The 14,569-nt window shown below is 41.1% G+C and overlaps 1 protein-coding gene across 14 annotated transcripts in view; it reads left to right on the forward strand.

The window, feature by feature from the left end:
* Window positions 1–14,569, forward strand: part of NDUFAF6 (NADH:ubiquinone oxidoreductase complex assembly factor 6) — a 222,698-nt gene that overhangs the window by 84,106 nt on the left and 124,023 nt on the right. For 4 of the 14 annotated variants that reach the window (NM_001354514.2, NM_001354524.2, NM_001354522.2 and 1 more), the window contains one exon: window positions 951–1,069. The exons of 3 other annotated variants lie outside the window; for them this stretch is intronic. Coding sequence is in view for 1 of the 11 variants with exons in the window: in NM_001354516.2 (NP_001341445.1) it covers window positions 1,029–1,069 (41 nt within the window). In the remaining 10 variants the exon portion in view is untranslated. Of the gene's footprint in view, window positions 1–950; window positions 1,070–6,478; window positions 9,752–14,569 lie in introns of those variants that run through there. 7 more of the 14 variants (NR_148906.2, NR_148903.2, NR_148909.2 and 4 more) reach the window with 4 other exon arrangements.

Below are 14,569 nucleotides of genomic sequence, written 5' to 3' on the forward strand. Positions count from 1 at the left end.
GCCAACATGGCAAAAACCTCATCTCTACTGAAAATAAAAAAAATCAGCTTGGTGTGGTGGCGCGCACCTGTAATCCCAGCTACTCGGGAGGCTGAAGTAGGAGAATCACTTGAACTAGGAAGGCGGAGGTTACAGTGAGCCGAGATCATGCCACTGCACTGCAGCCTGGTTTACAGAGTGAGACTCTGTCTCAAAGCGAAAAAAAAAACAACAAAAAAAACCAGAAAAAGAAATAGTGGTTATGCTTACATGGTGAGATAAATGCTTACTTATATGTGGGAAAGTCTTTTGTTCTTTATGCATTTTTATTATATATATATATATTTTAAAAGAGTATATTCTCCTTTTATAATAGGTGGGAAATTGAACCACTCATGTTAAATGAGTTTAGTCAACTGCAGAAGTTACATATCATAAGAAACAGTTTGTGGGAGACACCCAGGCTCAAAGGAGCTACTGGGGTGTATCCCAAGAAAGGTGTGACGGGAATGTGGTTATTGTTAGGACACAAATAACACTGTCAACTGTGGTTTTTTTGTTTTTTTTTTTTTTTTTTTTGAGACAGAGTCTGGCTCTGTCACTGAACTGGAGTGCAGTGGTGTGATCTCGGCTCACTGCAACCTCCACTTCCTGGCTCCAAGCAATTCTCCAGCCTCAGCCTCCTGAATAGCTGGGATTATAGGTGCCTGTCACCACAACTGGCTAATTTTTGTTTTTTTTTAGTAGGGGGGTGGGGGGGTCTCACCATGTTGGCCAGACTGGTCTTGAACTCCTGACCTCAGGTGATCAGCATGCCTTGGCCTCCCGAAGTTTGGGTTTGAAGGTGTAAGCCACCGTGCTTGGCCTGTCAACTGTACTTTAATGAATAAGGCATAAAACCTTAGTTTAGTGCATAGTTGTTTACCTCCATTACCCCTTTTCTCCATCAAGACTACCTTGTATTTGTTTAGGCAGCCACCTCTCAACAACCCATGAAGTGTCTGGAGCTCCACCCTCTGCTCAAGAGGAACGGCACATGACCCAGGCCTATGCCAATCAGCATTTCACATTCCTCATGGTTGGTTCAAAGGTGAGCAAGTAATTGAAATCAGTTAAATTAGTGCCAGCACAAAGAGGCTCTTTCCCCCACCCCAGTATTACCATGGTTTTAATATGGTTTATCCCCACAAAACTCACGTTGAGGCTTGGACTCCAGTGTGACAGTATTGGGAGGTGGTGCCTTTAAGAGATGATTAGATGGTTAAGAGGGATGAATGCCTTACTCTTGCAGTGAGTTCTTGTTCTCTCAGTTCTGGATTAGTTCCCATGAGAGTGGGTTGTTATAAAGCAAGGCTGCCTTTTGCGTTTGGTCTCTTTTGCTTGCCCGTCCACTTTTCTGCCACAGTATAATGTGGCAGGAGGCCCTCACCAGATGCAGCTGCCTGATCTTGAACGTCCTAGTCTCTAGAACTGTGAGCCTAATAAACCTCTTTCCTTTATAAATTACCCAGTCTTAGGTATATTGTTATAGCAACAGAAAACGGATTAAGACATATGTTGTACTTGAACCTTAATGTACTTGAACTTGAAGTTTGATGGCTGCAGCAGCTATAGCCATCTTACTTCCATGTGAAGCCTAAGAATTAAGCAACACATGGAAGGGAACACATCTTTTGAGCCCCAATTTGGCCATGAGTTGCCCTTAGATTTTTTTAGTTATGTGAGCCAATACATTTCCTAAAACAGGTAAAATTATGTTTTTAGACACTGATAACCAAAACAGGTCAAACTATGCTTACGGCAATTTGCTTTAAAAGAGAACTAGACAGAGAGAATTTGTTGCCTTTTGACCAATGCTTCCATGAGAGAGCTGATATTCTGATTCCTGACCTCAACCACTATTTGATTGGCAGATGTACACTTACACACTGCATAATGACATTTTGGTCAATGATGGGCGCTTGAGCCCAGGAGGTCAAGGCTGCAGTGAGCTGTCATTGTGCCACTGCACTCCAATCTAAATGACAGAGTGAGACCCTGTCTCAAAAAAAAAAAAAAAAAATTGGCCAGGCGCGGTGGCTCACGCCTGTAATCCCAGCACTTTGGGAGGCTGAGGAGGGTGGATCACGAGGTCAGGAGATTGAGACCATCCTGGCTAACACGGTGAAACCACATCTCTACTAAAATACAAAAACAAAATTAGCCAGATGTGGTGGTGGGTGCCTGTAGTCCCAGCTACTAGGGAGGCTGAGGCGGGAGAATGGCGTGAACCCAGGAGGCAGAGCTTGCAGTGAGCTGAGATCATGCCACTGCACTCCAGCCTGGGCAACAGAGCGAGACTCCATCTCAAAAAAAAAAAATTATACATCTTTTCTATGCTTAGATGTGTTTAGATACACAAATACTATTGTGTCACAATTGCCTACAATATTCAGTACAGTAACATGCTGTGCAGGTTTGTAGCCTAGGAGCAATAGGCTATCCCATATAGGTTAGGTGTGTAGTAGGCTAAGCCATCTAGGTTTGTGTAGGTATACTCTATGATATTTGAACAATGACAAAATCACTTAATGATGCATTTCTCAAAACATGTCCTCATCTTTAAGTGATGCATGACTGCGTATCTCCCCTGAAGAAATAGCAATTCATTTGGTTAGCCTAGTTTGATGAAACTATCTCATCATGAAACCCAACTCCTATTTCTGATTCCAGGTTTACCAAGCTGTCCTCTGATCTGTGGTTTAGCCCTTTGACTGCACTGATTATGAGGCAGGCACCCTCCCATTATGCGTGAACACACTGGCATTACATTTGTTCAGTCAGCCTTTTGCAAGTTTGTTTAACCAATTAGTTGCTAGAGCATGCATGTAATAGAAACCTTGAGATTCTGGCTTCAAAGCTGAGAACAGTCCCAGCTCCATGGTGACCCACCGTAATATGGAAGGAAGAGCCAACTAAGTTGAGACTCTGTATCTCTCTTTAACTTCCACAGGGTTGTTCACCTAAAAGGAGGACTAATAAAGACAGAATGTGCATGTTCGTTATGTGGTCCTCACAATACTGGTCAGCCCTGGAACATGGTAGTCCTGGGTTTGTACAGCTACTGTTTTTGGTGTAGTCTTGGGCAGACCACCATCTCCCTAAGCCTCTATTTTGGTTCTTCTACTATAAAGTGGTAAAAATAACACTTTTTGCATGTGGTCATTGCAAAAACTAAAAGAAATGATATACATGAAGTCTAGGCAAAATAGAATAATAACTACACAGAGGCAGATTTTCCATGAAGTTAATAAAGTTTCCTGGGCCCTAACAATGTGTTCACATAGTCCTTTGGTTTCATAAAAATTGTAAATTCAAGATATCTTTGCTATTCTTTTTTTTTTTTTTTTTTTTTTTTTTGAGACAGTGTCTCACTTTGTTGCCCAGACTGGAGTGCAATGGCACTATCTTGGCTCACCGCAATCTCTGCCTTCCAGGCTCAAGCAATTCTCCTGTCTCAGCCTCCTGAGTAGCTGGGATTACAGGTGTGCGCCACCACTGCCTGGCTAATTTTTGTACTTTTAGTAGAGACAAGTTTTCAGCATGTTGGCCAGGCTGGTCTTGAACGCCTGACCTCAAGTGATCCACCCGCCTCGGCCTCCCAAAGTGCTAGGATTTACAGGCATGAGCCACCACATCCAGCCAATTTTTCTTAAATCAAGTCCCCCAAATCTTGTACTGGTATTATTTCATTATCATGATCTCATTTAAACCTCACAACAATACTGTGGGATAGCTATGGTTGTTACCATTTTACAAATGAGAAAACTGAGGCTTATGGATATTAAGTAACTTTTCTAAGATCATACTATGAGTGGTAGAGCCAGGATTCAAACCGAGGTGGTGTGCATCCAGAGAGTGTCCAGGGTCCACATCTTAATCACTCACCTGGTTTCCTAAATGTGTCTGTACCGAAGAGTCACCAAGGGGCACTTATTAAAGTACAGATTCCAGGGTCTACCTCAGAGATAGCAAATCAGGGTCTCTAGGGGAGGGACCTAGTTTCTGTGGTGGTTTCCACTCATGAGCCTCTGCTCCAATGAGCTGTATTTGCCTGTCTGTCTCCAATCTTGGGGACAGCAGTTTTTCCTATGGCCTCACCTTTCTTACAGGTGCAAGAAGAGTTGTTGATTTTTCAGCCTGTCCAGCTTTGTAGTTGCTGTTAAGATAGAATGGACTTCCAAGCTCCTTACGTGCAGAAGCAGAAACCAGAGGTCCTATCAAAATAGTTTTAAATTGTATTAAACATACACAAAAGTAGAGCAATGTGCTGAATCCCTATGTATCCATCACCTAGGTTCAATAATTATTATAATTTTGCTAATTTTGAGAAGCAGTTTAAAAACTCATAGAGACCAGTGCTTAACAGTTAAAAAAACAGGGAGTTAAAATCGTCATTCAAATAATTTGGGAGGTGAAATTAATTATTTTTAAGTAAATTACCTAAATGATTTGGGCAAGAGCCATATATGTATATATATTACAAATAGCATAAAACAAAAAACTGATAATGTTAAGTATTTTGGTAGCTCTTTTGTGTAATATCACTTTACTCAAATCCTCCCCAATACCCTATTATGTGAAGAGAAATCTGTTTTTTATTACATTTCCTTCTGAAACTCAGAGGGCAAAACAGTCCAATTCAATCACCAAACTTGTGGAGTCCACAGGGTGTTCCCTTATGCTACAGGAGACCAGAGAGGAGTTGCAAAGCCTATCCACAGTTGTTTGGAAGACTTTATTGGGAAAGTGGTGTTTGAGTAGCATCTATTAAGAGTAGACTTTATGTCTAAAAGCAGATGTGGAAGAGGCAGAATTTCAGGTTGAGGGAACTTCATGTACACGGATGGGAGAGAAGAAGGTGTAGAGTGAGTTTGGGGGTGTGGTTACATTACAGTGTTTGTGATGGAAAGGTAATTTAAGAGCTGGATGAATCTTAAAGGTGACATCATGGAGCAGAGGTTAAAGGCGTAGGTTCTGTTGGCAGACAGACCTGTCTGGTTACCTCCTGCCTCAGGTGGCAGTGCTGATTGCCAACCTAAGAGCCATTCTCAATGTATTTTCCTTGGTGGTAGGGCTGCCTTCCTCTCTGAAGGCTAGAAATGCTAGATACTCATTTACCAGCCTCCTTTGCAGCTAGGGGATGGCCATGTAATCCAAGTCTGGCCAAAAGGACCTGAAGGGAAATCTAAGGTGGGGGGTTCTAGAAATAATTTTCTCCCTAATCAAAAAAGACTCTATAGCAAAAACTTCTTTTTGCCTCTGAACATAGCTGTGTGACACTGTGAGCACTGGAGCTATGGCAGCCATCCTGTAACCATGAGGAAAAGCTGCTGATGAAAGCCAAGGTGCTGAGGCTAGCAGAGGAGATAATATAAAGTATTTAGTGCTTGATGACATCATTATGCCACTCTACATATGCCACTCTTTGTTTGGAATATCAGATTGTATAAAATGATACATTTTCCTGATTACTTAGGCCATTTTGATTTGCACAACCCCTGGGTTAGTATCAGCCCAGAAAGTAGAAAAGAAAAACAATAATTATATATATATATATATATATATATATATATATATATATATATATATATTTTTTTTTTTTTTTTTTTTTTTTTTTTTTTTTTTTCTGAGACAGAATCTCACTCTGTCGCCCAGGCTGGAGTGCAATGGTGCAATCTCAGCTCACTGCAACCTCCGCCTCCCAGGTTCAAGCAATTCTCCTGCCTCAGCCTTCCGAGTAGGTGGGATTACAGGCATGCACCACCATGCCTAGCTAATTTTTGTATTTTTAGTAGAGACAGGGTTTCACTATGTTGGCCAGTCTGGTCTCAAATGCCTGACCTTGTGATTTGCCCGCCTTGGCGTCCCAAAGTGCTGGGATTACAGGTGTGAGCCTCCATGCCCTGCAACAATACATTTTTATACAATTTTGTACAATTTTTTTCTTCCTTTCTTTTTTTTTTTTTGAGACGCAGTCTCACTCTATCGCCCAGGCTGGAGTGCAGTGGCGTGATCTCGGCTCACTGCAAGCTCTGCCTCCCAGGTTCGAGCGATTCTCCTGCCTCAGCCTCCCAAGTAGCTGGGACTACAGGCGTGTGCCACCATGCCCGGCTAATTTTTCATGTTTTTAGTAGAGATGGGGTTTCACCGTGTTAACCAGGATGGTCTCGATCTCCTGACCTCGTGATCTGCCTGCCTCAGCCTCCCAAAGTGCTAGGATTATAGGTGTGAACCACCTCGCCTGGCACAATTTTCTATTTTTAAAAAATCTCATGTTCAGCAAAATCATACATCACAAGTTTTATGGAAAAAATAGGGTCAAGGGCAGACCACTCAAAACATTAAGAAGTTTTTAAGTAGAGCCCTGATAAAAACAACTCTACTAATAAATATCTTGGCACAGTTTGTTCTCTATTGCTGTTTGCAGCTAACCATACAGCCAGGCCTTCCTTTGCAGCTTTGTATCTGGGTACACCTGTTTCCTCCTGAGACATGAAGGTCCTTGAGGACATTTGCTTCCTGGAGAGAAAATTGTCACCAAAATTAAAAATACAATCTAGAGGTAGCTTTCTGAAATCATTTTAAACATAAAGAGATATGACTTAAAAATTTTTCATCTGAACTGTCAATTTCCATAAATAGCTTAATATAGTGAAAAATTGAGAGGTTCTTGAAGCCACTAAGTCTAATAAAAAAATGCAATTCCATGGGGTTTTCGGTTTTCTGCTTTTTCCTTAGGGTCCTCAAAGATGAGGAAGGCTTTGTCTTTGTGAGAAAGCTCATTCTAGTCACTTCAAAACATACTGGAAAAATAGCATATGAGCTAATTTGGTTTCTGTGACATGATGATTCTATTCCCCTATTACCTGTCACATGAGAGCCAGTTAGGACTAAGAAAACACCAGGGTGGTTAAATGGTAAATTTTATGTTATGCATATTTGGCCACTGTATATATTTAAAAATTGAGGCTCTACAGGAGCTCTTGTTTATGTGGGCTATGCCTATCAATGTTTACCTTAGTAGTCAGTAAAACTGGGATTTTTTTTTCAAAGGAACACCATTATGAATAGATGATGCTAACATTGGTGTATCCACCACTCAGCTTCAGAAATCAAACTTTACTGATATCCTTGAATCCCCATATGTGTCCTTCCCTGAATGCATTCCTTTGTCCCCCAGAAGTACAGACTATCCAGGATTCAGTGTTTATCATTCCCATGTCTTTCTTTATGGGTTTTCTAAATTTAGAATATCCCCAGAGACAGTTTAAAATTTTTAAGCCAATGCAGCCATAACACAGTATGTGTATTATTTTGGAACTTTTATTGACTTGGTTCATCCACCCCTCCAGGTGCCATTGGTCACCCAACCCCCTCCAAAGCAGAGGGGCAGTTCTCTCTAGTACTTTATTAGCTGCCTTGATGTCTTGTTTCCAGTCCCTTCAGAAATTATGGTGGAGATACACACATACACATTAATGGAATAAACACTCTTCCCTCCTCTCCCTTGGGGCTCCTTCCCCCAAAGAGGTCCATTGTCCACAAGTACTCATTTGTGGGACTCAATATGTTCCCAGCCACAACAGAGCATTACATTAGAATAGGAGCTAACATGTGGGAATCAGCATATGTTTAGAATTACATCTTACACACTGAAAAATGCACTGGAAGAGCAGCCATTATTGACAGAGACGGTCCTGGCTAATAGATCTGCCTAGTTTTAGGCTGCTTAGGGGAACAGGGGTCCTGGAATAAGAAGCCCCACCCCCTCCTATGAAGAGAGGAAAGCTGGAGACAAAAAGAGGAAGCAAGAGATGAATTGCAAAAAACTAATCAGATTGCAACCTCAAGGTAACATTTTGCATAATAAGTTCTAACAATGTTTTCTTGTTTATATCAGCCTCCTCCTCTTAGCCTGGCTTACTAGGCTGGTGTTTAATTCCAATGCTTCTGGGTTAATTTATTCAACTTTATTATCCTTACTATAGTAGCCTCCCCTAGCGTTCTCCCCTACCTCTCAAAGGTCTCATCTAAGTGTGTATAAAGCTGTTAAATAGAGGAGAGGAATCAGGATGAACTGCACAGCATTTTCTTAAGGCCTGTGGGTTCTGGAGCCTATGCTTCAGCAACTGAAGCTGAACTGTGTGGTTGTTGCTAACATTGGTGTATCCACCACTAAGCCTCAGAAATAAAACTTTACTGATATCTTTGAATCCCATGTGTGTCCTTCCCTGAATGCATTGCTTTGTCACCCAGAGGTAACAGCTATCCAGCATTCAGTGCTTATCATCCCCATGTCTTTCTTTATTGGTTTTCTAAATTTGGAATATCCCTGGAGACAACTTTGGCAACTGAAGCTAAACTGTGATGGTTGTTGACCTCTGATGTGCTACTTTTTAATCAAGAACTTATTTTCCCTCTTTCTCTCTCAGCTCCCACAGGCCCATTCTGGTGACTCATGACTTGTATACACAGAACAACAGAGAAAAGAAAAATAGAATTAGATAAACAAGCAGGGGCAACAGTGAGGGCTATGTCTTACAAAGAACCATTTTTAATTGAATTCATTTTCTCTCTTGAAATTCTTTTTTTTTTCCCTCAAAAGTGGGAAAAAATTCTCAAATAACAACAGCAAACCAAGAAAGCAGCTTAGTCTGCACTGCATTTGCATTTCTTAGTTTCATTCCCTATTCAAAAATGTCTTAGGCAAATGTGTGGGAATGAACATGCACTTTAAAATTATGGGACCTAGTAGATTTAATGGAATGAGCCCTGGATTGGGAGCCAGGGGACCTGGCTTTGAATGGTCCCAACCCAGGCACTTATTTACCTTAGTTTCTTCACTTATAAAATTAAACACACCATCTACTGATGAATGGATAAACAAAATGTGATATATCCACAGAAGGGAATCTTGTTCAGCTGTGAGAAGGAATGAAGTATGGACATGTGCTATAATGTGGATGTGCGTTAAAGACATTATGCTAAGTGAAAGAAGCCAGACACAAAGACCATACATTTCACGATTCCACTTACATGAAATGTACAGAATAGCTAAATCTAAGGACATAAAGTAGGTTAGCTAATGGGTACAGGTTTCATTCTGGGTTGATGAAATGTTCCAAAATTGATTGTGCTGATGGTTGTATTTAAAACTCTGCATATACTGAAAACCATTTAATTGTACATTTTAAATGAGTGAATTGTATGCTATGTGAATTATATCTCAATAAAGTTGTTCAAAAAAAAGAGAAAAAAATGAAACAGTGATTTCCACCCAGCCCAGATATGTTGTGAAGCTCAAATGAATTGTTTTTACAAATAAGAAAACCACTTAAAACTATACAATGAAAATTATTTTTAAACTTAATTATTTCTTAAATTCGAGGCTGATATACTAAAGGAATTTTTCCAGTGACAGTTGGCATTTCTATAAACCAGAATTGTACCTCTGCTTACAGCTCTGTGGATGAAGATCAGGGAGGAGGAACAGTTTCAAGTTGGTGAGAGTGTTGAGGGGAGGGAAAAAATGGCTGGTTTGTAAGATCCTTGAGGTCAGGGATTATTTTTATCTTGTTCTCTTTTGTAATCCCAGTGCCTAGTACAATGCCTGACTCAATCAATGTGAATGAGTGAATAATGAATCAATGGTCAAACTAATGAACTGGGGGTCTGAATGAAAATGATGAGGCACTTTCACTCAGCCAATAAACTTTTACCAGCCCACAAATTCAGGTTCGTATTTTAATGTTGACAGTGACTTGGACTTTTGGGGATTATACCTGTTCCATTGCTAAGAGAGTGATAATTCTCTTTCACGTGTTGCACATCACAATGGTCTCTCTCTGTTATCCAAGCTGGAGTGCAGTGGCGTTATCATGGCCTCAACCTCCTATACTCAAGCGATCCTCCTACATCAGCCTCCTGAGTAGCTGGGACTACAGGTGCGCACCACCTCCCAAATAGTTTTTTATTTTATTATTTTGTAGAGATGGGCTCTCACTGTGTTGCCCAGGCTGGTCTTGAACTGCTAGGCTCATGCAATCCGCCTGCCTTGGCTTCTCAAAGTGCTGGGATTACAGGTGTGAGCCACCACGCCTGGCCAAAAGTTTTAATGTAAAAAACTTCATCAGTATTGTGGCTATGATTCACTCTATCTTCTACTAGTTGTTATGAGTCAAGGAAAGGGTTGGCCTCCAGAACAAAAGGATCTTAAGGCTTGGTCTAGTCATGCCAGGAGTCCTGAGTGACTGTGGAGCAAGCTGAGAGGTCTGCTTTGCTGAAAGACAAGGACAACACATATATAAGGTGGTTTGGAATTAGGGCAACAATTTTGTGTAGTCCTGCCATTGTAGGCCACTGTGATGGGACAGGAATCACCAGCCTTGGGGAGAAGCAACCATTCTCCATTCTCTATTTCTCTATTTTTGCCATTTGGGAAAAGACTTGTGAGTTTGGGACCAAATTGACATCATGGCAAACAAGTGCCATTTACATCCGAAAAGCTGAAATCAAAAGGAGAATAATTCTAGGGGAGAACACTCCACTTCCTCTGATGGGTTCTTGAGTTCCCTGCTCTCTTTTCACTAAACCTTTCCAAAAAAAAAATCCTTGTCACCCAAAAACTCTAACTGGAACCCCTCTGAAGGACCACTCATGTCTTGTGTGTGAGTAACAGCCATGGAAACGTGGTTGAAGAACTGAACTTTAGGACCTGGACTACCCAGAGCAACAGCTACTGCATTCAAGGCTGGAAATTTCCATTTAGAAAATAAAGCTGGCTTAAGAAAGGATTTCCTCATGACAGGGAAAAAATGGACAATTGGTCAACTTGACAAATGAGACTTCCTCATGACAACTGTTAAAGAAAAGCTCTAGGACACACAAGGGAAGCTTGAGACAGTGAAATTTAACTGGGTGCCAAAGCTTCCTCGCAGATAGATGAACTCCAGGTTTCCCCATTTATGCTCAGACAATAAGCCCTTCCTATGCAGGAGACCTGACAGCAGTAACAGCAGAAGCCTTATTCGCGAAGGGACTTTTCTTAACCTTTTATTTTCCTCCCTGTACCTCTAGTCACTTACTTGGACATCATGTCCTGGAGCTAAACAGCAGTATACCCTAAACTTCAAAAACATCTGTGAAAAATGACTGGTCTAAGGGAACTGTATATACCACACAAAGTAGATCATCTTTCCATCCCCTCCTCCACTGATTTCTTCCAAAACAGACATCTGAAAAGCCAGGAAACCAAGAAAGAAACAAACACAAACCACTAGTAAAACCAGCTCCCTTAATAAAAAATATCTTCCAATCTCCAGCTCCCTGATTTGATAAACATCTTAAAATATGTTTGGCTATGACTTTTGATTATTCTGCCTCTGATGTTATTTATTTTAGATCTGAAGATCAGGGGCTTGTGTTTGCTCAGGCAACAGTTTGAGTGATGCTGCAGCGTGAACTCTGGAGTCAGGCAGAGGTAGGCTAGAATCAGACTCCATGTGCACCAGCTGTCTAAATTGGTAAACTGGGGAAGTGACTCAGCGTTTCTAATTTTCATCTGTAAAATGGGGATAATAATAATAGCCTCAGATTTGCTATATGAATCTAATCAGCTTATGTATGTAAATGAGAACATAATCTAGAATAATCCCATACCTGTCCCTATCTACTTCCTTTTCTCTAGATAATTTTGTTTCTTATCATTCCAGAGATTCTTTACAGAAATATAAGCAAATTAAATATATTTTTTTCTTTTGCCTTCTAGCTTACATAAAAGTAGCATATAACTGCTCTGTGCCTTGTTTTTTTCTCTTCATCTATCTTGGAAATCTTTCCATATCAGTACAAGGAGAGCTTCCTCATTCTTCGCCCCCCCCCCCTTTTTTTTTTTAAAGCAGCACGAGATTCCATTGTGTGGCTGTAGCACAGTTTATTTAACCATTCTTTATCGGAAGACATTTGGATTATTTCCAAATATTTCCTACAACAAATAAAGCTGCAGTGAATATTCTTGTACAGAGTGTCATTTTGCATGTATGTGAGTATATCTAAAGGGTTTATACATTTGAAGTTTTTAAAAACAACTTTATTAACATAAAATTTATTACAGTTGTAATTTGATGGCTTTTGCCAAATTGCCCTCCAAAGGGGTTGTGCCATTTTGTACTACCCAGCAATGTATGAGGGTGTACAGTAAACTATTAGAAGTGGGCACTTACAGAAGGTAGGATAGGTGGGCCCAGAGAGAATTTCAACTGTCCTTAAAAATATGACATGTGGCTGGGCACGGTGGCTCACACCTGTAATCCCAGCACTTTGGGAGGCCAAGGGGGGCAGATCACCTGAGGTCAGAGTTTGAGACCAGCCTGGCCAACATGGTGAAACCCCATGTCTACTAAAAATATAAAAATCAGCTGGGCATGGTGGTGTGCACCTGCAGTCCCAGCTATTCGAGAAGCTGAGGCAAGAGAATCACTTGAACCTGGGAGGTGGAGGTTTTAGTAAGCTGAGATTGCACCACTGTACTCCAGCCTGGATGACAGAGCAAGACTCCCGTCTCAAAAGAAAAAAAAATGACATGTTAAAAAAGTTTACATATAGGTCTATATTCTTATTGTAAAATATGGTAAGAATTTAAAGTGTCCCTTGGTTGATACTCTTCTTCCCTTCAACCAGTCCCAGTCTTTCCCATGTTGTGAATTATTTGGTGTGTCAATTAATAATTGTTAAATCCAGTGGCCATTTCTCAGTTTCTGTCCTCCTTGAGATATCTAAAGATCTATTCCCAAGATCCTCTCTTCCTTTGGTGTTCATGACGCAAACATTCTTTTGGTTCGCTCATAATTCTCTGATCCTTTACCATCTTCTCTGGCTTCTCTTCTCTTGCCTTAAAAAACAGGCCTAATAATAGGCAATATTTGTTGAATGCCGATGATGCACAAGAATAACAGAACCCCAAACCACAAGGAGTTTAAGGTCTTAGGGGTGTGGCAGATTGTTTGCAAAGGTGGTTGAGACAATTCCTCCTGCCTCTGTAAGTGTATTAGTTTGCTAAGGTGGCTGTGACAAAATACCACAAATTGCATTACTTAAACAACAGAAACCTATTTACTCACAATCCTGGCAGTTAGAAGTCCAAGATCAAGGTGTTTGAAGGGCTGATTACTTCTGAAGCCTCTTTTCTGAGGGTTAGAGATGGCCATCCTCTCCTTTGTCTTCACATTGTCTTCCCTCTGTACCTGTCAGGAACCTTATCTCCTCTTCTTATAAGGATACCAATCATATTGGATTAGGACCCACTCTAACAAGCTCAGTTTTAACCTAATTACCTCTTCAAAGACCTTGTCTCCAAATACAGTCACATCCAGAGGCACCAAAAGTTAGGACTTCAACATATGTGTTGGGAGGAACAATTCAGCCCATTCCTTAAGCATGCCCTTTACAGTATGATTTTGCTGTCCTCCCCAGTAAGGGGTTTAATCTCTTTCTTCACTTCCTAAGCTAGGCTGGCCTTGTGACTTGATTTGACCAATAGAATGTGGCAGAAGTGATGTTGACCAACCTCCAAGTCTAGACTTGCAGTTTCTACTTATACTTTCTTGGAACACTGCCCTGAGACCACCATATAGGGATGGATGTTGCTATAACCTCCTGGAGGATAAGTGGGCATGGAGGAGGAGAGCTAATGCATCACAGCCATCAATCAGCACTGACTGCCAGTCATTTGAGTGAGGTCAGCTTGGACCATCCAGCTGTTCTTGCCATCATCTGACTGCAATTGCATGAGTAAGCCCAGGTAAGACAAGCTAAAGAAGTGCCCATCCAGCCCACAAAAATAATAAGAAAGAATACACGGTAGTTGTTTTAAGCCACTAAAACATGATTATTGTTATAAATCACTATTTTTACACACAACAGTCATTGATATTGGGGGAGATAGAGAAATTATATAAAAACTATCAACACATTAAGTTTCATAAAAGGAAAAATACATGTTGAGGCAAATAGTGGGAGCCAAATTCATGTGGGAAGGGGAAAAGGTCTTCTGGGAAAGGGATGTTTAAGTTGAGATGTTTATGATGAGTAGGAGTAGTGAGGCAAATTTGGGAGAGTAAAGGGTAGGAGGAGAAGGTATAGGTCAGATTCTATTCAAATACTCACTCTCTCCCCTGCCCTGTGCTCCATGGGAAGAATATGTTTCCCTGCCCCATTTATGTTGGGCTTGGCCATGAGGTTTTCTTGAGCCAATGGTTCATGGTTAGAAATGACCAATGTGTGGTTCTACTGGCCTCTGGGAGCTGCCAGTCATTCAGGGCCTTGAAAGCCATGTTAAAAATGATGGTCTGGGCGCGGTGGCTCACACCTGTAATCCCAGCACTTTGGGAGGCCGAGGCGAGTGGATCACCTGAGGTCAGGAGTTTGAGACCAGCCTGGCCAACATGGTGAAACCCCATCTCTACTAAAAATACAAAACTTAGCTGGGCATGGTGGCTGGCACCTGTATTCCCAGCTACTAGGGAGGCTGAGGCAGGAGAATCGCTTCAAC

Source organism: Homo sapiens, chromosome 8 (genome assembly GCF_000001405.40).
Source record: "Homo sapiens chromosome 8, GRCh38.p14 Primary Assembly".
NCBI lineage: Eukaryota > Metazoa > Chordata > Mammalia > Primates > Hominidae > Homo > Homo sapiens.